Raw genomic sequence first — 23,024 nt, forward strand, 5'->3', positions numbered from 1 at the left:
CATGTGCAAATGTCCTTTTAGTAGATGCTATTAAAAGGCATTTAAATTATACACTCCAGTGTCTAAATGACAGTCTGAAGTGTATGTGTGTTTGGAGGATGGGCAAGTGGGAGCAAAAGGAGGCATTGTGCTGGGGCGATTGATATTTTTAGGAAGCCTAAATGTAATGTTTGATTTCGGTATAACTAACAGACTCATGGTTTAGAAAAGTTGTCTATCAAAAACTGAGAAATTGAGGTTTTGGTTTCTTCTTAAAGAAATGTTCAAGTCATGTGCATGAGTATGCTCAGAGAGATTAAAAATGGAGAGAAATTGGAATGGTGGCAAGGTATCCAGGAAAGTACCTGTCTTCTCTGAGAGTCCAAGGGCAGGAGCAGAAAGGACTTTAAAGATGGTGGCAACAGGCTGGGTGCGGTGGCTCACACCTGTAATCCCAGCACTTTGGGAGGCTGAGGCGGGCGGATCACCTGAGCTCCGCAGTTTGAGACCAGCCTGACCAACATGGAGAAACCCCATCTCTGCTAAAAATACAAAAAATTAGCCGGGCGTGGTGGTGCATGCCTATAATCCCAGCTACTTGGGAGGCTGAGGCAGGAGAATCAATTGTGCCATTGCAGTCCAGCCTAGGCAACAAGAGTGAAACTCTGTCTCAAAACAAAACAAAACAAAAAAAAAGATTGTGGCAACAGCTGGAAGGGGTCCCCAGGAGCTCTGACACAGGGTTTTCCAACTGCCCAACATCACGGGGTTGGGGAGCAGAGCATCCAGAGGGCTCCGTGTATTGTTTTGTAGTATAGGGTCTAACTTCTAGAAAGTTGGGAATAGGCTTCTGAGAGTTTTGGAGTCAACAGGCCTGAATGCAGAATGATCAAAAGAAGATGGCTATTCCTCTCAGAGTGGTGCTGGTTTTGGGGGCCAGCAGTGCAGTGAAAAGCCCAATTTCCCAATCCTATTTTGAATATTTCTGCCCCCACAAGCGTTTCATTTGACTCCAGAGACTAACCACTCTTCCAGAGGGTCTAGAAGTCTTCAGGCTTCAGAATTTTTAGGCCATAGTGCTTTGGAATAACAGTCCCTTGTGTAGAAAAGTGTGAGATCTGAGCTCTTTTCCTGGTCAACCTGTGAAGTCACTGCATGACCAACTCTGTGCCTCAGGTTTTTTCTCTGCAAAGTGGGAGTGATGGTAATGGCTTCCTACCTTTCAGGGTTTGTATATGAGCTGCACATAGTTTCATGGGTTACCACTCAGCATGCTTTCACGCAAGTAGAGATTACATTTTATTGTTGAAAGAAATCTTGGTTGTCTTCTGTTGTAATCTTACCTTGAATCCAGGGCTACAAAGAAGGGTTAAAGCTAGATATGGCTCATGCCTGTATTTCCAGCTACTTAGAAGGCTGAGGCGGGAGGATTACTTGAGCCCAGAAGGTTGAGGCTGCAGCGAGCTGTGGTAGTGCCACTACACCCCAGCCTGGCCAACAGAGCAAGACTTCGTCTGTTAAAAACAAAACAAAAGAAAAGAAAAACCAAAGTAAGGTTAAGAGAAGTTGGCTATGTCACACAGTATGTTCTATTTGGAATTTTGTGACTTTTGAGTAACATAACCTAAAGGCCGTGTGGCACAGTGGAAAGGCTTTGTAGCCAGCAGACTTTGAGTTTGAATTCTGACCCTGCCTTACTATGTCTGTGGTCTTGTGCAAGTGCTTTTACATCCTTGGGTCTGTTCCCACATCTGTAAAATGGGCATAACAACATTTATCCAACAGAAAGGATTCATACACTCTGTGTGTAAACTGCTTTTTGTGATTAACAAGACTAATGATAACAGCCAAGATTAGATCCCCAGTGCAGGTTGCCTTACTTTCTATCAGGTGAGAAGGAGAGAAAATTCTTATTTCCCAAAGAACTTACAGTGACGGGGCTCTTCAGCTGCTCTTTATCCAACAGACTTAGAATAGAGACAACACCGGGCATACTTGCAATTTTTTAGGATGTGCAGGAAGCAAAAGAATTATTTTCAGTGAAACAGGAGTCTGCAAAAGGTGCCTTAGGAAACAACTGCCACACAGTACATCCCAATATAGACTCCTCCCAGCTTCTCTAGGGCAGCCATCTGCCTGACAGGCCCCACCCAGATAAGCCCAGCTTTCTTCTCCCAAGAGTTTAAGGAAGATTTCCTGATGTATGTGTGCGTGTGTGTGGGGGTGGTATGGGGTTGTGTTGGGCGGGGGTCAAGAGGGGTGTTAATTTGGGATGGGTAGTCACTGGCTTTTGGTGGCATAACTGGAAGGTAACACTCCCTGTGGCTGAATCCTGATCCCTGTGGGGATCAGCGCATGGTTCATCCAGACATCTTCCTCAGTGGGTCCTGGCCTCTGCTCATACTATGTCTTCTACTGGGGATTCCCGTCTCCACCTCCAATATACGTATGTTGAAATCTTCATCTTACGTCAAAGCTCAACTTGGAGGTCATGTCTTATGTAAATCCATCACAGACCTCTCCTCCACCCCATCTGGGCAGCGGTCATCTGCTCCACCCTCCGGAGCACTCTGTACATATTCCATCACACTTCAGTTACTTATGTAATTGTCTAGTCAGCAGAAGATACTCCTCTCCAAAGGGCAAGGTTCTGCTAACCGCTGTGAAGCCTGGCTTTGAGTTTATGAGGGGTGATTCTTTTCAGTTTATAATTTCTTGGCACAGGAGGGTCACAGTGTTGTTGGTAACCGTAGCATCTGTCCTGGGAGGCTCTGTATGCTCTTCATTGTTCATACATCCATTTATTTCTTCACTCAGCCACATGAGGCATGTGGGATGTATGTTATCTCTGCTTGATACATGAGGAAACTGATTCTGGTTAAAGGACTTGTGCCTGTCATACAGGCAGCTAAGAGTGCCTATAGTCCTTTGTATTGCCTTTTCAGCCAACAGTCCCATCCCAGCCCAAAGGAGGAAACATTTGGGGAGCATATACTGGTGAGAACATCTTCCCTATTCTGTGGCGTTCTCTTAGCCTTATGCCTGGCACAGAGGAAGGCTCTGGGAATGTTTGGGCCGGATGGATCTGGGAGCCTCTTTTGCATGCCAAGCTGCATACTTATCCCTAGCAAATGCTGGTCTCCTTGATGGATATGTGACATGGGTGGCTGAATTTACATGGCACCTGGTGGCTTCTCACACTCCTCCGCCACGCCTCTGGGGACTAGGATAGGACAGATGGCCACAGACAGGATTCTCAGCTCTGCAAATCACATTTGGGAAAAAGTTAAGTTTGTGCAATAACACAATTTTGGTAACATGGTTTCATGCTGCTGGTAAATTCTATAACACTCTCTGGATAAATCACACTTCAGCAGAACTCACTTGGGAACAGAGTTTAATTTCACTGTAGGTGGCTGTGATTCCCACCCACCAGTCTTCACACCCCCGCTAATATATCTAGGCTGATAAGGTGAATGCTGTGCTAAGCAGGCTATTTCTGGGCCCAGGATAGAATTACATTGTGGTTTTTAAAGAATTTTTTTCTGTATATTTTTCTATTCACAGACCCTTTGAAAGAAGAATTACATTATGTTAATCATCCGTTTCCCCATCAGCACCTTTAATTCCTTCTCCCCAGAGTATAACCACTTGTCCTTAAAATGACAGAGGTGGAAAAGATCTTGATAGTTCAGCCTCCTGTATGTATATATGAAGAGGTTGAGGCCCAGAGAGACTGGGCAGCCTACTCAGTTGTCAGATGGCTGGTGAAGACCTGCATCCGGATCCGTTGACTTCTCTCCTGTGCAGGGCCCTTGTTTTTTGCCCTGCCCTACTGCTTAACCTTGTCTTCTGTCTTACAACTAGGGGAGAGTCTATGGCATGTTCAGTTTGAAATGAATAAAAGTGAATACTTGTTCATTGTTAAAGGACCCCAACACAGAACTAATTTCCTGTTAACCCTTACATTTTCTCTTGACATATCTTTGGTGAGGACCATTAAAGGCTTAACACATTTCTGTACAGTGACATGCAGTCCTAGGGGTTAACTGTGTGGGTTTGAGCGATAGGATTTAACTTTTAGGAAAAAGGGGAAAAAAGAGAGAAGGTTGATAAGTGTATTTGGAGAGAGAGAAAAAATAGTTAATTTTTCTCTTAACAGTTAATCTGAAATGATAACACAATTGTGCCTTTTGGCTCTAAAATCACCATATTTTTGATATATAATCCAAAGGCAGGTATCCAGACTGCTGAAGGCTTATTAAAATGTAACAATAGGTCCAAGTCTAGAACTTGAAAAAACTTCTCATTTGTCAAAGAAGTTCCAGTATTCTACATTCTCTTGCTAATGAATTTGGGGAGCCTTGGAAGCTCAGCAACTGGGATGCCATCGACAGGTTTGCGGTCCTCTCTAGTCTGGGGTAGGTCTTAAGGGGAAACTTTTGGGAGGGACACACATACAGTACAGTGAAACTGTACATGAACTACTCAGGAGACAGATCACTTGGCAGGGATGTGGCGATCTTTGTACATATTTGTTCTGCTTTACTAGCTACATTGTAAGCTTCTGCAGATGAAGAGTTCAGCCTTGATGTCCCATCTCCCGCCCAGGCCTGCCATGTACTAGTTGATCAGTAAAAGTGGAATGAATGAAAGCCAGTGTTAGTTTACAGAGCTTCTGTGGGACAGAAGCTTTGTTCAGTTGAGTTTCCATCAATATCAAATGCAATGTTATGTGCGTTGAGTTTCTTGATAACTGTTCTTGAGGTTTCTTTTTTTTTTTGGTCCTTTTTGACTGATTAAGCAAGGCTGGACTGGTTGGAGACCCCAGATGGGACCAAGAAATGCGAATCCTGCCTGGATTGTTGTAGGTAGAGTGCTTAATATGGGGCCTGGCATGAAGGAAGTTGGGAGTATTATCTGGTCAACTGGAGTTTAGTTATTAGGTTGTAAATGACTATGGTAGGTACAGATGTCATGAATATACTAGGGTCTCAGGGTCTGAAAGAGTTAAAGCTCCTCTCAGAATAGCCCAGGCAGTTCCCAGGAAGTAGCTTCTTAGGCAGGATGTGGCAAACCAGTGGGTAAATGAGAGCCCTTCTCCTTTGGAAGAAAAGGAAGTAGGTGGGGAGAAGTGAAGAGGAAGAGCTTGGTAGACAAATCTTTTTATCTGCTTCTTTTTTAAGTGCCAGACAGACCCTGCAGATTTTTGATCCAAAGTGACCAAAGTCCTAAGAATGCCAATAATATTGGTTTTGCTATTGTCTTTTCCCTGCAGCTAATAACTCAAGTTTAAGATCCACTAGAGTGTTGTTTCAATAGATTTTGTTTTCTAATTTTGATCATTGGTGTATTCTTCAGTGCGCTTTCAAGATTCACAGTGAATGTGGTGTCATCCAAAATCACATTCTTTTCTAACCAAGGATAAGTCAGAAGAAAAGATATATATATGTATATTAGAAAAGTGTCTCTTTAATGTGTTTACCTATTTATCCATTTTAAAACACATTCCCACCCATTCTCTGTCCAGGTGCTCATAACAGTCCCTTGTGATACAGGACAAGAGTGTGCTTCCATTTAAGGCAGGAGAGAGATCTTGCCCATGGTTAGATGACCAGTTACCAGCAGAGTTAATAGAGGGCTCCAGACCCTCTGACTTCAAGTTCAGGGTTGTTTCCACAATTTTGGTCCTTTTTGTTAAGAATATAGTTTATACATTGGAGACAAATTATTGATGGAGGCTGCAATTTTGCAAATAAAAATAACCCTCAAAAATCCAGTAATGTGTATGTGAAATGAAATAGGTGAACTGAATTTGGTGAGCTTTAGTGTCGCTGTAAAAGCAACTATCCTTTGTAAACTTACTGCATAGCTAATAATGTAAATCAGTGTTGTGTTTAGGAATCAGCTCCAGGACTGTGGTTTGATATGTGGAAACACCTCTGCGTTTGCTGTGGGCTGGTAGACAGAATGGGCTGGACCTGGCTGTACTGTGAAAGGCTTCTTTGAGCTGGTTCTTTGACCAGGTAATGAAAACGTTAAGCATCTAAAAACGAAGTCTTTAGGAGGCTTCCAAGGATCTGGAAAGCTGAACTCAGCAATTTTTAGACTTCAGTTTTCTGGACAGGACAGCTCTTCTAGTCAAGGAAGCCAGTATCTCCTGCATTTGTGTAGCTCTTGACTCCATTTCTTTGAAGGTTTCAAATGATAATTTTTACACTTACCCAGATAATCTACTCTGCCTGAGCACATAATTGGTAATTTGGCCCAAAGACTGCATACTTAGATTGCATCCTGGTCACACTGATATCTTACATGCATTTTAGATATTTAAATATTAAAACAAATATTCTTATGGCAATTTTTGTTTGTTTTGAGATGGGGTCTTGCCGTATTGCCCAGGCTGGAGGGCAGTGGCTATTCACAGGTGCAGTCATAGTGCACTGCAGCCTGAAACTCCTGGCTTCAAGCCATCCTTACATCTCAGCCTCCTGAGTAGCTGGGACTACAGGCGCATGCCACTGTGCCTGGCCCTTGTGGAAATTTTATTTATTTATTTATTTTATTATTTTATTATTATTATTATTTTTTGACACAGTCTCTCTCTGTCGCCCTGGCTGGAGTACAGTGGCGTGATCTCGGCTCACTGCAACCTCCACCTCCCAGGTTCAAGCAATTCTCGTGCCTCAGCCTCTAAAGTAGCTGGGACTACAGGTGCTCGCCACCACGCCCAGCTAATTTTTGTATTTTTAGTAGAGACAGGGTTTCACCATGTTGGCCAGGCTGGCCTCGAACTCCTGACCTCAGGTGATCCACCTGCCTCGGCCTCCCAAAGTGCTGGGATTACAGGCATGAGCCACCACGCTTGGCCCCTTGTGTCAATTTTTAGAAGCTAGGATGTCAGGCTGCTCTTTACTGAACCCTAAATATCCTGAAGCATTCTGGGCTGGTGTCTAGGACCATCTTGATCCTAAGGGAATAAGCTTGACTCTTCTCCTCTTGGTGCTTCAGCACTGCATTTTCCTCAGTGGGATTGGAACAAGCATTAAAGCAAAACAAAAAGTTGTAAATGAGACTTAGGGCAACTAACCTGCTCTAGCCAGAATGAAAAATTTGTTGACGTTTAAAGTTCTCTGACCTCCCTGTGTCTACCTGTTCATAATACTAAAACAAATTATGAACTTAAGTAATAAGAAAAAAGATTATGGCAGATTTCACACAGCTAAAATAATTACAAGAATTCAGCAACCACAAAAATATTTCTCACTGCAAATTCTCATCCATTTCTGTATTGTAGGCATTTTTTTTTTTCTTTTGGTTTTAGTGTTTATTGTATACCTCACACTGGGTTAGACTCAAGTTTGGGGGATACTTCCAGCTTAATTGAGGGTATGAGCATGTAATTGCAAGGCATTGTGACACATGCTCTAACTCTGGTGTGTGATACAGCACAGGCTATGGGAACTCAAAGGGTGAGTGACTAACGCTGTCTTGAGGAGTGAAGGACTGTATCCCCAAAGCAGGGATCTGGGCCTGTCTTGGGGTTTTTGGGTCTTCTGTTTTGTTCTTATTTTTTTCTTCTTCTTCTTTTTTTTTTTTTTTTCCTGTAACCTTATTTATGGTGAAGGGACTTTTTTTTTTTTAATTGTTTACACTTGCCCTTTTGATATCCTCTGCATTCGTGGCTCTTATCATCATCTTAGACTTGTGAACCTGCCTCAGGTCTCTGTTAGGAGTTTCTGGCCTATCTGGTCAGCCATATACTGAGTAGCTCCACACGTAGAGCCTGCAGGTTATCTCCAACTCACCTTTTCCAAAAAATAGATTTATAATCCTCTTGTCGCCTGTGATGACCTCTCATGCTAACTACCCAGAGTCAGGCAGACCTCATAGGTTAAACACACAGTCCTCTGTAAGACTGCCCTTCATAAGACTGTTACAATCTAAGGGGTTTCCTGACCACACACACTTCTGTTGAACTAGCTACAAATTGGGGTTTTCACTATCCTCTCAGGTTCCATAGTTTGCTAGAGCAATTCACAGAACTCAGGAATGCACTGTACTTCTGATTACAATTTTATTATAGCAAAAAGGGTACAAATCAGGAGCAGCCAAAAGAAGAGGCATATAGGGTAAGGCCTGGGAGGGTCCCAGATGTAAAGCTTCTGGTGTCTTCACCTCTTGGAATCAGGGCACAGTCACTCTCCTAGTACATTGATGTGTAACAATATGCACAGAGTATTATTAACCAGGGAAGCTCCCCTGAGCTTCAGTGTCCAGAGTTTTTACTGGGGCCCCATTACATAGGCATGATTAATTGAATCATTGGCCATGTGATTGAACTGAATCTCTAGCCCTTTTACTCACTGCAGGTTAGGCTGTATTACATGGCTCAGAGCCCCAACCTTGTAATCACATGATTGGTCTTTCTGGTATGGCCAGCCCCCATCCTGTGTCTTTTTTTTTTTTTTTCCCCCAGTCATCTTTTATTTGGAGGTTAATTCCCATTAGGATATGAAAGGATTCAGCAACGATCGAGACTGTGTTCCTTATGGAGGGGCTCGGGCCAAGAAGGTCATGGCGGGGAGTGCAGAGCATGCCCTCTTCTTCAGTGGTACTTGCATAGCCACTTGTGCTTGAGCTCCTTGTAGGAAAGGCAGTAGCTGAAGAGCACGTAGCTTGCCAGCACCATGGTAACCCCTGAGATGCTCCCCTTCTTCATGTCAATGCACTGCTTGTAGTACCAGTAATAACCTCTTCAAAATGCTCCGGTAGTGCCACTATTGCTGAAGTCCTGCATCAAGCTCCAGCTTGGCAGCTCCCCTAGTTTGACCTCCAGAAGTTTCTTGTTCTTCACTGGTATGACTGATGCCATCTTGGAGTCCTGGTGTCCACTGTCCCTGTGTCATCTTTTTAAGCAAACTGTGGGCCCACATTGAATCACCTTATTGGCGTAAACTATCAGGGCCCACTGTGAATAACAAAGACACTCCTATTACTTGAGAAATTCCAAAGATTTAGAGGTTACCTCCAGAAACCAGGGACAAAGGCCAGCCAAATTCTTTATTATACAACATCCTCCTAACCCCCAAAGCTGTCTAGTCCTCATCTTTGTGATGTGGTAAGTCAGATCCCTCTGGATGCCCAGCCAGAAACCTGGCATCACCCTCAACTCCTCCCTCCCTCCCCCCATATCCAGATCATCACCCAGTCTTGCCAACTCTGCCTTCAGTTTCTGTCCCAGCTCTTTATTGCCTGGCTGCTGTGGTGTTCAAATTCTCATCTTGTCTTGTTTTCCTTGTTGCCTTCAAGCTGACTTTCCTGGCTTGGCTCTCCCATTTCTAAGTTGCCAGACTCTTGGTTCCAAAATATAAAACTGATCTTGTCACTTTCTTTAGAATTTGCTGTTGCAGAACAATGTGTGTATTATAATTCCATTTTCGTTAAACAAAACATACTATATATATTCACTGGAAATGTATTTCAAAGAAATCTAGAAGTGTATATATTCTACAGTGTTAAGAGTAGTTATCTGAGGGAAGGTGGAACATAGAGTTTTACTTTAGACTATATATTTCTAGACTAGTTGGATTTTTTCATACTGAGCACACATTAGTTTTTTTAGGCCTGGTAATATTACAGAAGTCAAATTACAGAAGTCACCCTAGCTCCCCACTCGCCTTCTAAACCTAATTCTTTAGCATGGTGTGCTGTGCCCTTCATGGTCTAGCTCAGTTTACCTGCAGCCCCATCTCATCACTCACCTGGATGCATCCACTCTCAGGATATTCTCAGGATTAAACTTGGGGATTACATTTTCTGACCTTCACTTTCCCTCCCTTATCTTAGATGGAATTAGGGAGTTTTTCTGTATGTTCCCATAGCTCCCAATGCCTACCTTGCTTTTAGCATTTTGACCTACCCTACCCTGTAGATTGTTGTTACACTTGTATAGTTGTTGCTGTACTTCTTCTTAGTATCCTTTCCTATGTTTGGCTTACATTGTGATACACACCCCCCTACAATCCCCCCCAAACACACACACCCACCCACACACCCACCTTTCAGACTGCCTTGTGAGGACAGGGATCTTGTTGTCTTCATAGCCTAGCCTCTAGTATACATAGTGCTTGTCATGGAGTAGACGCTTCATAGTAAATCTGCATTGTATTTTCACAGCTGTAGGCATAAATGGATGTAACCCAGAGATTCACTCAAGTTACCTATCCCATGCCCTTTTCTAGATTGGAGCACTCCCCGAGGTTTAGATTCTCATCATCAGTTCTGCTGTGGGACTCACATTTCCCTTTCTATGTTTTTTCTCTTTTTGCTCTGTTCTTGAACTAGCTTGGAATTTGGCTCCTTTTCCTTGGTTTCCACTATAACAACAGTGAGAACAAAGTATACACAAAGCTATTTGTGTGCACAGCAGATTGGACTTGGAAGGTTTGGGGTGGGGAGGGTATATTATATTACAGCAATACAGGTAACTTAAAATCTAATGGTGTTAGGTGTCTTTGGTCTTAAATGACCTTTGCTACCCTGCCATGGTACCTCCTTTCCTTCTGCTCTTGCTGCTCTTAACGAGTCCCCAAACAAGCTTTTCTCATTTTATTTTGCAACGTAATTCAGCTCTCCAGCTGCACCTCTACATGCTGTTCAGGGCTGCTTCTGCCCACCCCAAGGCTGAGGAGCAGGCCCTTCTAAACTATGGGCAAGCTTTCTGGTTCTCTAGTAGGACCAGATCCCACTGTGAACAGGTATTGTTAGCCCAAAGACTTATTTCCCCACCCCACATCTTTTTTCAGAAGACAGAAGCAAGCACTATCAGTTTTGGTTTTAATTAAGTTTCTTTCTGTGATATTACTTCTTCTAGGTAGGTTTTGACTTTACTAGACCAATTGCTGTTAATTTGATGGTCTAACTAGTAATTTTCTACCCCTAGTTTAACATGTTGAATGTTGACCAGGTGCAGTGTCTTACGCCTGTAATCCCCGCACTTTGGGAGGCTTAGGTGGGTGGATCACCTGAGCCCTAGAAGTTTGAGACCAATCTGGGCAACATAGTGAAACCCTGTCTCTACAGAAAATTACAAAAATTAGCCAGGCATGGTGGCACGTGCCTGTAGTCCAGTTACTTGAGAAACTGAGGTGGGAGGGAGGATCGCCTGAGCCCAGGAGATTGAGGCTGCAGTGAGCCATGATTGCACCACTACACCCCAGTCTGCGCAACAAAATGAGACCCTGTCTCAAAAAAACAAAAAACCTATGCTTAAGTGAGCACCTGCATTGACTTCCAGTCCTGATCCTGAAATCAGGATTCCCTGAAGGTTGTTGGAAAGTGATCTGGGGGTAGGGTTTTTTCCCAGAGGTGATACGTGCTCAGGGATGAGATTTGCTGACCCTCCTGTGTGTATTTGGGCAGGGAGAAGGGTCCAGCTGTAACAAACAGCTGTTCTTGTATATAAGGGGGAAGCAAGTCTGGAGAATTGACAATTTCTCCTGTGGACTAGAATTGGAGACATATTTTGAGTGCTGTGTTTCATCTGACTGTATCTTCCTGCCCTTGGGTGTGCTTCTGGGCACTGGCTACTGACCTTTTGCCTTGGGGACCCGACCGTACTTATGGTTCTGTTAAAGTTGGAGGGTGTCCAGGTTCTTGGCATCTTCAACAAAGAATTGGACAAAATGCACAAAGCAAGGAAGGGACGAAGGGATTTATTGAAAATGAAAGTACCCTCCACAATGTGGGAGCGGTCCCAAGCATAGGAGCTCAAAAGGCCCCGTTGCAGAGTTTTGGGGAATTTAAATACCCCCTAGAGGATTCCATTTGTTATTTTGGGTACGCTGTATGTAAATGGAGAGGTTGAAGTAAAGTTACAAAGTCATTTGCGGCCTATGACCTATGGAGAGGATATTTCCTGTTATAGCTGAAGAGTGAATTGGCCTTATGTTCCCTACCTCCAGACCCAATTTTCCTGCCTCAGTTCTGAGTTATGAGGTTTAACTGATTGGGTCACATTGGATCCTGTACCTTCTCCCTCATTGAAGAGCAAACTGCATTCCTGATTGATAGACCAGCATGGGCCATTATTATACAGGGATTTTCTAAAAAGCTCTTTTTCTTTTTTTAAATTTATTTAAACTATTTTTTCCTCATTATGACTGGAAGGATAAAAGATATTTTTCTATATCAGCTTCTCAAGAACAGGGAATGGGTAATGTCCAGTACGTCATCTTTCTAAGGCCATAGCCAGCTTGTCTTTTCAGTAACAGCCAGCCCCACTGTTTAGTGGTCACCACCAGACCCAGGGCTCCCTTTGTTTTTCTGATGCTGACCACATTTTTTTTTTTTTTGAGACGGAGTCTCGCTCTGTCGCCCAGGCTGGAGTGCAGTGGCGGGATCTCAGCTCACTGCAAGCTCCGCCTCCCGGGTTCACGCCATTCTCCTGCCTCAGCCTCCCGAGCACCCGCCACCACGCCTGGCTAATTTTTTGTGTTTTTAGTAGAGAGAGGGTTTCAATGTGTTAGCCAGGATGGTCTCGATCTCCTGACCTTGTGATCCGCCCACCTCAGCCTCTCAAAGTGCTGGGATTAGAGGTGTGATCCACTGTGCCCGGCCTTTTTTTTTTTTTTTTTTTTTTCCTTTTTTCTTTTTTTTGAGACAGAGTTTCACTTTGTTGCCCAGGCTGGAGTGCAATGGCGCAATCTTGGCTCACTGCAACCTCTGCCTCCTGGGTTCAAGCGATTCTCCTGCCTCATCCTCCCAAGTAGCTGGGATTACAGGCGTGCACCACCATGCCTGGCTTCTTTTTTGTCTTATAACTTCTGTTTTTTTTTCCCCCCTCTCCCTCCAAACTCCATCACTTTTCCTTTTGTACTTCTACAGAAGCCTGATCCTTTAAAAATTATCTGGCTGGGCGCGGTGGCTCACACCTGTAATTCTAGCACTTTGGGAGGCCGAGGCGGATGGATCACCTGAGGTCAGGGATTCAAGACCAGCCTGGCCAACATGGCAAAACCCCGTCTCTACTAAAAATACAAAAATTAGTCGGGCGTGGTGGTGCATGCCTGTAATCCCAGCTACTGGGGAGGCTGAGGAAGGAGAATTGCTTGAACCTGGGAGGTGGAGGTTGCAGTGAGCTGAGATTGTGCCACTGCACTCCAGCCTGTGTGACGGGAGCGAGACTCCATCTCAAAAAAAAAAAAATTTCATATGCGGCTAATATGAAACACATTTTATATACTGGGACAGAAGGAACCATAGGCTGTCACTTGTTTTAAGCAACAATATGACACCCCCTGTCTGATTCAGGATGTTATTCAATATTTGAGGAAAGTCTTTGTGAGTGGGTGGTCCTCATGACTCCAGAGGCTCCTCTGTGTGTGTGTATGTGTGTGTTTTTCAACATGACTGCAGAAACATGTTGTGGGAAGGTAATTTATGTGATTTCAGAAGACTGTTTGATTCCCAGGGGGTGTTTTTGTTTGTTTGTTTCTTTTTAAAGGATAGGAATATGTGATTCTTATTCTACCTGGGATTCTTTTTAATCAAACCTGTTTTTATGACATAAACAAAAAAAAAGTCTGTTGGCTTGGAAACTACCTGATTTACAGTGAAATTAAAAATAAATGCCTTGGCCAGGTGTGGTGGCTCACACCTGTAGTCCCAGCACTTTGGGAGGTGAGGTGGGTGGATCACCTGAGGTCAGGAGTTCGAGACCACCCTGGCCAATGTGGTGAAATCCTGTCTCTACTAAAAATACAAAAATTAGCTGGGCATGGTGGTGGGCACCTGTAGTCCCAGCTACTCGGGAGGCTGAGGAATGAGAATCACTTGAACCGGGGAGGCGGAGGTTGTGGTGAACCGAGATCACACCACTGCACTTCAGCCTGGGTGACAGAGCAAGACTCTGTCAAATAAATGAATGAACGAATGAATGAATGAATGAATGCCTTTCAGCCGTGCACAGTGGCTCACACCTGTAATCCCAGCACTTTGGGAGGCCAAGGTGGGTGGACCACTTGAGCCCAGGAGTTTGAGACCAGCCTGGGCAACATGGCGAAACCCAGTCTCTACAAAAAGTACAAAAATTAACCAGGCATGGTGGCCCAGCTACCCCAAACGCTGAGGTGGGAGGATCACCTGAGCCTGGGAGATCAAGGCTGCAATGAGCTGTGACTGCACTGCTGCACTCCAGCCTGGGTGACAGAGTAACACCCTGTCTCAAAAATAAAATAAAATAAATGTCTTTCAACCTGGGGAAGCCGATTGAAAAGGTAAATAAATTTACCTTATTTATTTTTCAAAATAAATTTACCTGTCCTTTCATTTTCTTATTTTTTTATTTTAAGCTTTATTCCCCTAATACTTACTCTTGGCATATATATATATATATGTGTGTGTGTGTGTGTGTGTGTGTGTGTGTGTGTGTGTATGTGTGTATATATATGTGTATATATATGTGTGTATATATATGTGTATATATATGTGTATATATATATGTGTATATATATGTGTGTATATATATGTGTGTATATATATGTGTGTATATATATGTGTATATATACACATACATACATACACACACATACATACATATATATACACACATACATATATACATACACATACATATATACACACACATACATACACACACATACATACATATATACACGTGCATATATATACTTATAATTTTTATATGTACAATTTTATATATATGTACACACATACACACACACATATATACACATACACACACATACACACACACACACACACACACACACACACACATATATATATATATAAATTTTTTTTTCTGAAACAGGGTCTCACTTTATCACCTAGACTGGAGTGCAGTAGTGTGGTCTTGGCTCACTGCAACCTTGACCTCCCGGGTTCAAGCGATCCTTCTGCCTTGGCCCCCCAAGTAGTTGAGACTACAGGTGCATGCCACTACACCTGGTGCATTTTTGTATTTTTTGTAGAGATAGGGTTTTGCCATGTTGCCCAGGCTGGTCTCAAACTCCTGAGCTCAAGCGATCCGCTTTGGCCTTCCAAAGTGCCAGGATTACAGGTTTGAGCCACCTTGCCTGGCCTGGCTTATAATCTTTTTTTTTTTTCCTTAAGTGCTAACTGCGAGTTAATGGTTTATAATATTCCTAATCCTAATTCTATACCATTGTCGCTGGGTGCAGTGGTTCACGCCTGTAATCTCAGCACTTTGGGAGGCCGAGGTGGGCAGATCACTTGAGGTCAGGAATTGGGGACGAGCCTAGCCAACATGGTGAAATCCTGTCTCTACTAAAAAAAATACAAAAATTAGCCTGGCATAGTGGGGCCTGTAATCCCAGCTACTTGGGAGGCTGAGGTGGGAGGAACACTTGAACCAGGAGGTGGAGGTTGCAGTGAGCTGAGATCGTATCACTGCACTTCAGCTTGGGTGACAGAGTGACTCCATCTCAAAAAAAAAAAACCAACAAAAAACAGCAACAAACCAATTCTATACCATTGTTCACAGATTAGCCCCTACTAGAATGCCCTCTTTCTCTTTTTTTTTTTTTGCTATCTCATTATTTTATATCATTCTAGACCAGTTTGAGCCTCATATCCCCACAAAACTTACTCTAGCATATCCTCAACTACACAGCTGCCTGTGTTCTAGGCCCTTTGTGAGAATTAGGCGAACTGTGGTACAGTCATTGCCCCAGAATCACTTTTGAAGTTGGTGGTGAAACCATAAAAGCAATAAAGGTAATTAACTACATTGTGCATTTTCCCCAGATTATTTATTGCATGAACAACATGAAAACGTGGGGATTAAATCACCTTCTACCCTGCCACAGCAACTGATTTCATTTATCTATGTTTCTTTGCAGTGCTTGTTCGTATACATTCATTTTTCCCCCATAGGTAATACAATATAATTCATTTGCACCTGAGAGTGTTTGTCAAAATTTCTGATACCTATAAGTGTGTGTGACTTTGGATAAGTCACTTCTCCTGAGACCCAGTTTCTCCGTCTAAACCAGGGGTTTAGACTACATGTCCTGTAAGGCAATAATCATGAAAATATCTTCTGTTGTGGAGTATTTCACAGTTGCTTGAACATTTGTATTGTTATTCTTTACCATAACTACATGGGATTGAGTGGAATATGATATTCCTTTTTTACGGATTGGGAAACTGAAACTGAGGTAGCCAAAGAAAACACTCTTAGGTGAAAATGAATTATATTGTAGTACCTATGACGGGAAAAAAATGAACGTATATGAACAAGCACTGGAAGGAAACATAGATAAATGACTTTAAGGTTGACTTTTTATCTCTGGTTTTTAGCAGTTTGACTATGATGTGTCTAGGTGTGGGATTTTTCTTTTTTTAAGTATTGCTTAGGGTGCCCTGTGTTTTTTCGATCTGGATGTTTGTTGTTTTTTGTTAATTTTGGGAAATTCTTGGCCTTTATCTCTTCAAGTATTTCTTCTGTCCTGTTCCCTCTTGTTCATCCAAGACCCCAACTACATATATGTTAGACGATTGGATCTTGTCCTACAACTCTTGGATGCTCTGTTCTGATTTCTTTTATTCTTTTTTTTTGCTTTAGTTTGGTTAATTTCTTTTTTGTTTTTTTGTTTTTTTGAGACAAGCTGGTCCCAAAGTCTGGGCCTCAAGTGGTCAAGCTGGTCTCAAACTCTGGGCCTCAAGTGGTCCTCCTGCCTTGGCCTCCCAAAATATTGGTATTACAAGCATGAGCCACCGTGCCCAGCCTCCATTTAAAAAGTTCTGTCGACCTATCTTCAGGGTCACTGATTGTTCCCTCAGCTCCATGTAATCGGCTAATGAGCCTGTTGACCTCTGATGCCACGTTTTTAAAATTTCTAGCATTTTAATTTGATTCTATTTTTAGTTTTCACCTTTGCTGAAATTCCTCATTTGTTCATACATGTTGTCACCTTTAACATATTAATCATAGTTATTTTAAGGCCTCTGTCTGATAGTTCCAACATCTGGGTCATCTGAGTCTGGTTCTGTTTATAGCTTATCTCTTGATAAGGTTGTTCCCCCCCATCCCACTTCCCAACCCTTCTTGATTTTTGTGTTTTTCTTTCCTTTTTTTTTTTTTTGAAACAGAGTCTCACTCTTTTCACCCAGGCTAGAGTACAGTGGTGCAATCTTGGTTCACTGCAACCTCCCTCCCGGTATTAAGCAATTCTTCTGCCTTAGCCTCCTGAGTAGCTGGGATTACAGGTGCCTGCCACCATGCCAGGCTAATTTTTTTTTTTTTTTTTTTTGAGATGGAGTTTCACTCTTGTTGACCAGGCTGGAGTGCAATGGCGCAATCTCGGCTCACGGCAACCTCTGCCTCCCAGGTTCAAGTGTTTCTTCTGCCTCAGCCTCCCGAGTAGCTGGGATTACAGGCATGCACCACCATGCCCGGCTAATTTTGTATTTTTAGTAGAGATGGGGTTTCACCATGTTGGTCAGGCTGGTCTCAAACTCCCAACCTCAGGTGATCTGCCCACCTTGACCTCCCAAAGTGCTGGGATTACAGGTGTGAGCCACTGTGCCCCACCCATGCCTGGCTGATTGTTTTATTTTTAGCAGAGATGGGGTTTCACCATGTTAGCCAGGCTGGTCTGGAACTCCTGACCTCAGGTGATCCACCTGCCTTGGCCTCCCAAAGTGCTGAGATTATGGATGTGAGCCACCGCACCCAGCCATGTCTTGTGCATTTTTTTTTTGAGGTGGAGTTTTTCTTTTGTTGCCCATGCTGGAGTGCAATGGTACTGTCTTGGCTCACTGCAGCCTCTGCCTCCTGGGTTCAAATGACTCTCCTGTCTCAGCCTCCTGAGTAGCTGAGATTACAGGCATATGCCACCATGCCCAGCTAATTTTTATATTTTCAGTAGAGGTGGGGTTTCGCCATGTTGGCCAGGCTGATGTCGAACTCCTGACCTCAAGTGATCTGCCTGCCTCGGCCTCCCAAAGTGCTGGGATTACAGGCATGAGCCACCGTGTCCAGCCCGTGTCTTGTAATTTTTGATTGAATTTTGGATATTATGTGGTAGAACAGAGAATTAGGTAAATTGTCTTTATCCTCAGAAATGGGCATGCTTTTCTGTCATGCTGTTAGTTTGTGTTAGGCTGTTAGCCAGATTTGAGCTGGGTTTGGGCTTTCTTTTTAATATTAACTTAAATGCATCACATGCTTCAAATTTCTCCAGTAATGGGTTTTTATCTTGCACTTAGCGGGGAGCCTGAGTTGCATACATTTATTTTTTTTCTCAGTCTTTCTACTGCTTCTTCAGCTCTGAACTGTCCCTTAATCCTTTGCCACAAAGGGACTCTTTCTCTACACTCTTGCCCCTTTCCTAGGGGTAAGCTGCAGTTGCTTTTTAGTGGTTCTTGGCTTGAAGTAGAGGTAGGGAGGTTCTCATTGTCTTGATCCAATCTCAATCTTTTTTTTTTTTTTTTTTTTTTTGCGATGGAATTTCACTCTTGTTGCTGAGGCTGGAGTGCAGTGGTGCAATCTCGGCTCACTACAACCTCTGCCTCCTGGGTTCAAGCGATTCTCCCGCCTCAGCCTCCCGAGTAGCTGGGATTACAGGATGTGCCACCAAGCCCGGCTAATTTTGTATTTTTAGTAGAGACAGGGTTTCTCCATGTTCGTCAGGCTGTTCTCAAACTCCCAACCTTAGGTGATCTGCCCGCCTCGGCCTCCTAAAGTGCTGGGATTACAGGCATGAGCCACTGTGCCCAGCCTCCCGTCTCCATCTTTAGCAGACCCTGTGAGTATAGACCTTGGGTTTGGGGTTTTCCCAGCATTCTTTCCCTTCCTGTGTATGGCAGCCAGACTTTGCCTTGTATCTGCGGCAGGTCTTGGGCAGGAGAAAGTTTTGTATACCTCCTTCAGCAGTTAGTAGACTTTTGCTTTCTGTTGGTGTTGAGCACAGCTTTAGGCTTAGATTCTTCATCAACTAGGAGAAGCTGTGCTTCAATACAGTTATTCGTTTGCATGGTTCCTAATGTGCTTCACTCAATTTAGCAGAATTTTTTTTTTTAACCTCTTCCTTGACGCTAGCTGCTTGTGCAAATCACATCTTGGCCGCCTACTCTTCTTCACTTGCTGACAGATGTGTAGGTGAGAAAAGTCTCATAGTCATTGTTCCTGAAAGAAGCTTCCAGACCCACTTCTAGGGCCAGTGACATATGCAGGAAATCAGCTGCTTCTGGGCCAGGACAGAGCTGGTCTTTTTTTTAGTGGGGGATGGCGGGCAGTGGGGCAGGGGACATTCAAAATTTATTTTCCAACAGACAGATAGCATCAGCAGGTACAACTACAAGGGTATCTACATAGATCATACATTCACAAGGCATTATTAGTTCAACAGTGAGAAAGCCACTCGTGGGTTTTCTGTAACAATATCCCACTTCATAGTGTAAACAGGTACTATTTTGTTCACTTACAATTCCGGAAGGAAGGGCACACCTTGCAGGGGGGAAGAAAAGGGGAATCCTAAAGTAAGGTGCAACAATTAAGAGACAACACTTTGGCTAACAATCTTGGATCCACATTTCAGTCAGGGCCTTCCACATAGAGGGGAAAGACTTTTCTCTCAGAAGTTAGAATCTTTCTTCCTCCTTTCTTGTTAAACTGAGAGCAGTGTTTTGTTTGCTCAATATTACATGTACAAAAGGAGATTAGAAGAAAATGCATCACAAAACCATCTTGAACGTTCAGCTCTTCCTGCCAATACATCACAACTCTTAGGTTTTAGACGGGGCCTGGGAATACGTAAGTGTTTTTTCTTTTTTTTTTTTTTTTAAGTGAAAGCAAGTTTATTACGAAAGCAAAGGGATAAAAGAATGGCTGCTCCATAGGCAGAGAGCAGCCCAGTAATCTTAAAATAGGAAAATAGACACTATGGCTACAAAAAATAAAAAATAAATGAGGTAGATAAAATTTTCACACCCAGGACTTGCCTGTTCCAACTTCATAGCCTTCATGAAATATTCATCAAGAAGACAAAAAAAAAAAAAACCTTTATAATTACTTGGCATAAGTCGCAACAAGAAAATTCAACAAAAAAATTAGCATGTATACCTGTGATAGGAAACACATCCTTCCATGAGTTTCTTCTCAAGAATGAAAACCTAGTTCTTCAGTAGAGTAGGCACTGGCAAACTAAGTCACCTGAGATTTCCTGCTCAGGTGCCCTCTTCTTCTGGGGTTCAGGAAGAGGAAGGCATCTAAGAAGTGTGGGAAAGGACATTGGCACTCTCAGGGCAGAGCTGGTCTTTCACATTGTGGTGAAACTACTAGAAAGAAGAAAAACATGCTTGTGGCTACTCTGTGCCTGCGAAATAGGTGTGAAGCCTTTAGGAGTCAGAAGACCTGGGTTCAACTCTAATAGTCACTTACTCTGTGAACTTGTGCAAGTCACTTCTCTGTAGTTTTTCTTACAGTTAAAACTTTAAAGTTTTGTCCAGTGCTAAAATTCTCTAATCCTAACATATCCTTCTGTAGTGTTACAAGGATAGAACTCTCCAGGTAAATACCAAGGCTGTGCTTTTCTGCAAGCATAGTGGTTAGCTTCTCGTGTTATATGGTTTGAAGCCCTAGTTGTTACTTCTTGCCTGCATATAAACCCCATTGACGATGATCTCATTTTGTTTTTCCTTTGAGAATAAATTGATTGTTTTGTCTTCCCAGGTCTTTGAGAATGCGTAAGTTCCGGCACTAGAAGGCCCTCAGTAAAGTAACTAAAGGAGTATATACAGCTAAGGGCAATTTAAGTCAAAATGTGATAATAAGTAAAAAGTGGTTGTAGAAATTAAATGAGAGTGAAATATTTTTTTAAAAGTTGGAATCATCTAAATGCTAAATGCATATTTAATATTGTTTTGCTACTGTAATCTAATTAGTTAAAAAGAATAACATTTGGGCTGGGGGTGGTGGCTCATGCCTGTAATCCCAGCACTTTAGGAGGCCGAGGCGGGCAGATCACGAGGTCAGGAGATCGAGACCATCCTGGCCAACACAGTGAAACCCCGTCTTTACTAAAAATACAAAAAATTAGCCGGGTGTGGTGGCGGGCGCCTGTAGTCCCAGTTGCTCAGGAGGCTGAGGCAGGAGAATTGTGTGAACCCAGGAGGCGGAGCTTGCAGTGAGCCAAGATGCACCACTGCACTCCAGCCTGGGTGACAGAGCAAGACTCCATCTCCAAAAAAAAAAATAATAATAATAACATTTGATAGTATTTATTGAGCACCTACTGTGAGCTAGATGAGTGTGGGTGAGCTCCTTTAGTCTCCTGACAACCCCAAGATGTGTTTACTACTGTTAGCCCCATTTTACTGATGAAAAACCTGAAGCTTAAGGCTTTTAAGAAACCTCTCTGGCCAGGCATGGTGGCTCACCCCTGTAATCCCAGCACTTTGGGACGCTGAGCCTGGCGGATCCCAAAGTCAGGAGTTAGAGACCAGCCTGGCCAACATGGTGAAACCCTGTCTCTACTAAAAATACAAAAATTAGCCGGGCGTGGTGGCAGGCACCCATAAACCCAGCTACTTGGAAAGCTGAGGCAGGAGAATCGTTTGAACCCAGGAGGTGAAGGTTGCAGTAAACCGAGATTGCGCCATTGCATTCCAGCCTAGGCAACAGGGCAAGACTCTGTCTCCAAAAAAAAGAAACCTCTCCAACTTGACGTGGCTATTCAGTGGCCAAATAGGGCTTCATACCCAGATAGCCTGACTCCCAGGTTCGGGTCAGGGTACATTTTTATGTATCATAAAAGCATAGTTGATGAATTCTCAGAAACCGAACACACCATATAACCAGCCCTCAGATCAAGAACAGGGCATTACTAGCACCCAGGAATTCCCCTCCTTCCCTATATTAGGGTTCACCAGAGAAACAGAACCAACAGCAGTTGTGCGTGTGTGTGTGTGTGTGTGTGTGTGTGTGTGTGTGTGTGTGTGTGTGTGTGTGTATGAGAGGGTTATTGATGTTTATTTTAGGGAATTGGCTCATGTGATTATGGAGGTCTGGTAAGCCTAAAATCTGCAGGGATAAGCCAGCAAGCTGAAGACCCAGGGTAGGGTTGCATGCGGTTCAAGTCCAGAGGCAGGCTACCAGCAGAATTCCTTCTTTTGGGCAGGTCAGTCTTTGTTCTCTTAAGGTTTTCAACTGATTGGCTGAGGCCCATTCACATTATGGAGAGTAATTCACTTTAAGTTTACCAATTTAAATGTTAATCTCATCCAAAAAACCCCCACAAAAACCAAAAACATTTTCACAGAAACACCATGGCCCAGCCAAGTTGACACGTAAAATTAACCATCACACACCCCCTCTTAGTTACTTCCCCCTGAAGGGTAATCACTTTCCTAATTTATAATTGCAAAGATTAGTGTTGCCCTTTTTTGAATTTTCTTTCCTTTTTTTTTTTTTTTTTTTTTTTTTTGAGACAGGGTCTCATTGTCACCCAGGCTAGAGTGCAGTGACGCGATCTTGGCTTACTGCGACCTCCGCCTCCCAGGCTCTGGTAATTCTCTCACCTCAGCCTCCTGAGTAGCTGTGATTACAAGCACACGCCACCACGCCTGGCTAATTTTTCTATTTTTTGTAGAGATGGGGTTTCACTATGTTGGCCAGGCTGGTCTCAAACAACTGGGCTTAAGTGATCCTCCCGCCTCGGCCTCCCAGAGTACTAGGATTACAGGTGTGAGCCAGCATGCCTGGCCTTGAATTTTTGACAGATGGAATGACATAGTGTATTAGTCTGTTTTCACACTGGTTTATAAAGAACTGCACAAGACTGGGTAATTTATAAAGTAAAGAGGTTTAATTGAATTACGGTTCTTTATGGCTGGGGAGGCCTCAGTAAACATACACTCACGGCATAAGGCAAAGGGGAAGCAAGGACCTTCTTCACATGGTGGCAAGAGAGAGAAGTGCCAGTAGGGGAAATGCCAGACACTTATAAAACCATCAGCTCTCATGAGAATTCACTCACTGTCACAGGAACAATGTG

The 23,024-nt window shown here is 43.3% G+C and overlaps 1 protein-coding gene and 1 pseudogene across 4 annotated transcripts in view, besides 1 other annotated feature; one reads left to right on the plus strand and one right to left on the minus strand.

Annotated features, from left to right (window-relative positions):
* Positions 1-23,024, plus strand: part of MAP2K1 (mitogen-activated protein kinase kinase 1) — a 104,633-nt gene that overhangs the window by 19,434 nt on the left and 62,175 nt on the right. The gene's annotated exons all lie outside the window — the stretch shown is intronic.
* Positions 8,455-8,880, minus strand: ATP5MFP6 (ATP synthase membrane subunit f pseudogene 6; annotated as a pseudogene).
* Positions 22,072-22,571: an enhancer, noted in NCBI's record as "H3K4me1 hESC enhancer chr15:66720755-66721254 (GRCh37/hg19 assembly coordinates)". NCBI's record gives its function as "activates a minimal SCP1, AML or CMV promoter by ChIP-STARR-seq in primed H9 embryonic stem cells {active_cell/tissue: H9 hESC(primed)}" and the evidence as "EXISTENCE:reporter gene assay evidence [ECO:0000049][PMID:30033119]".

This window comes from Homo sapiens, chromosome 15, assembly GCF_000001405.40.
Source record: "Homo sapiens chromosome 15, GRCh38.p14 Primary Assembly".
Classification (NCBI taxonomy): domain Eukaryota; kingdom Metazoa; phylum Chordata; class Mammalia; order Primates; family Hominidae; genus Homo; species Homo sapiens.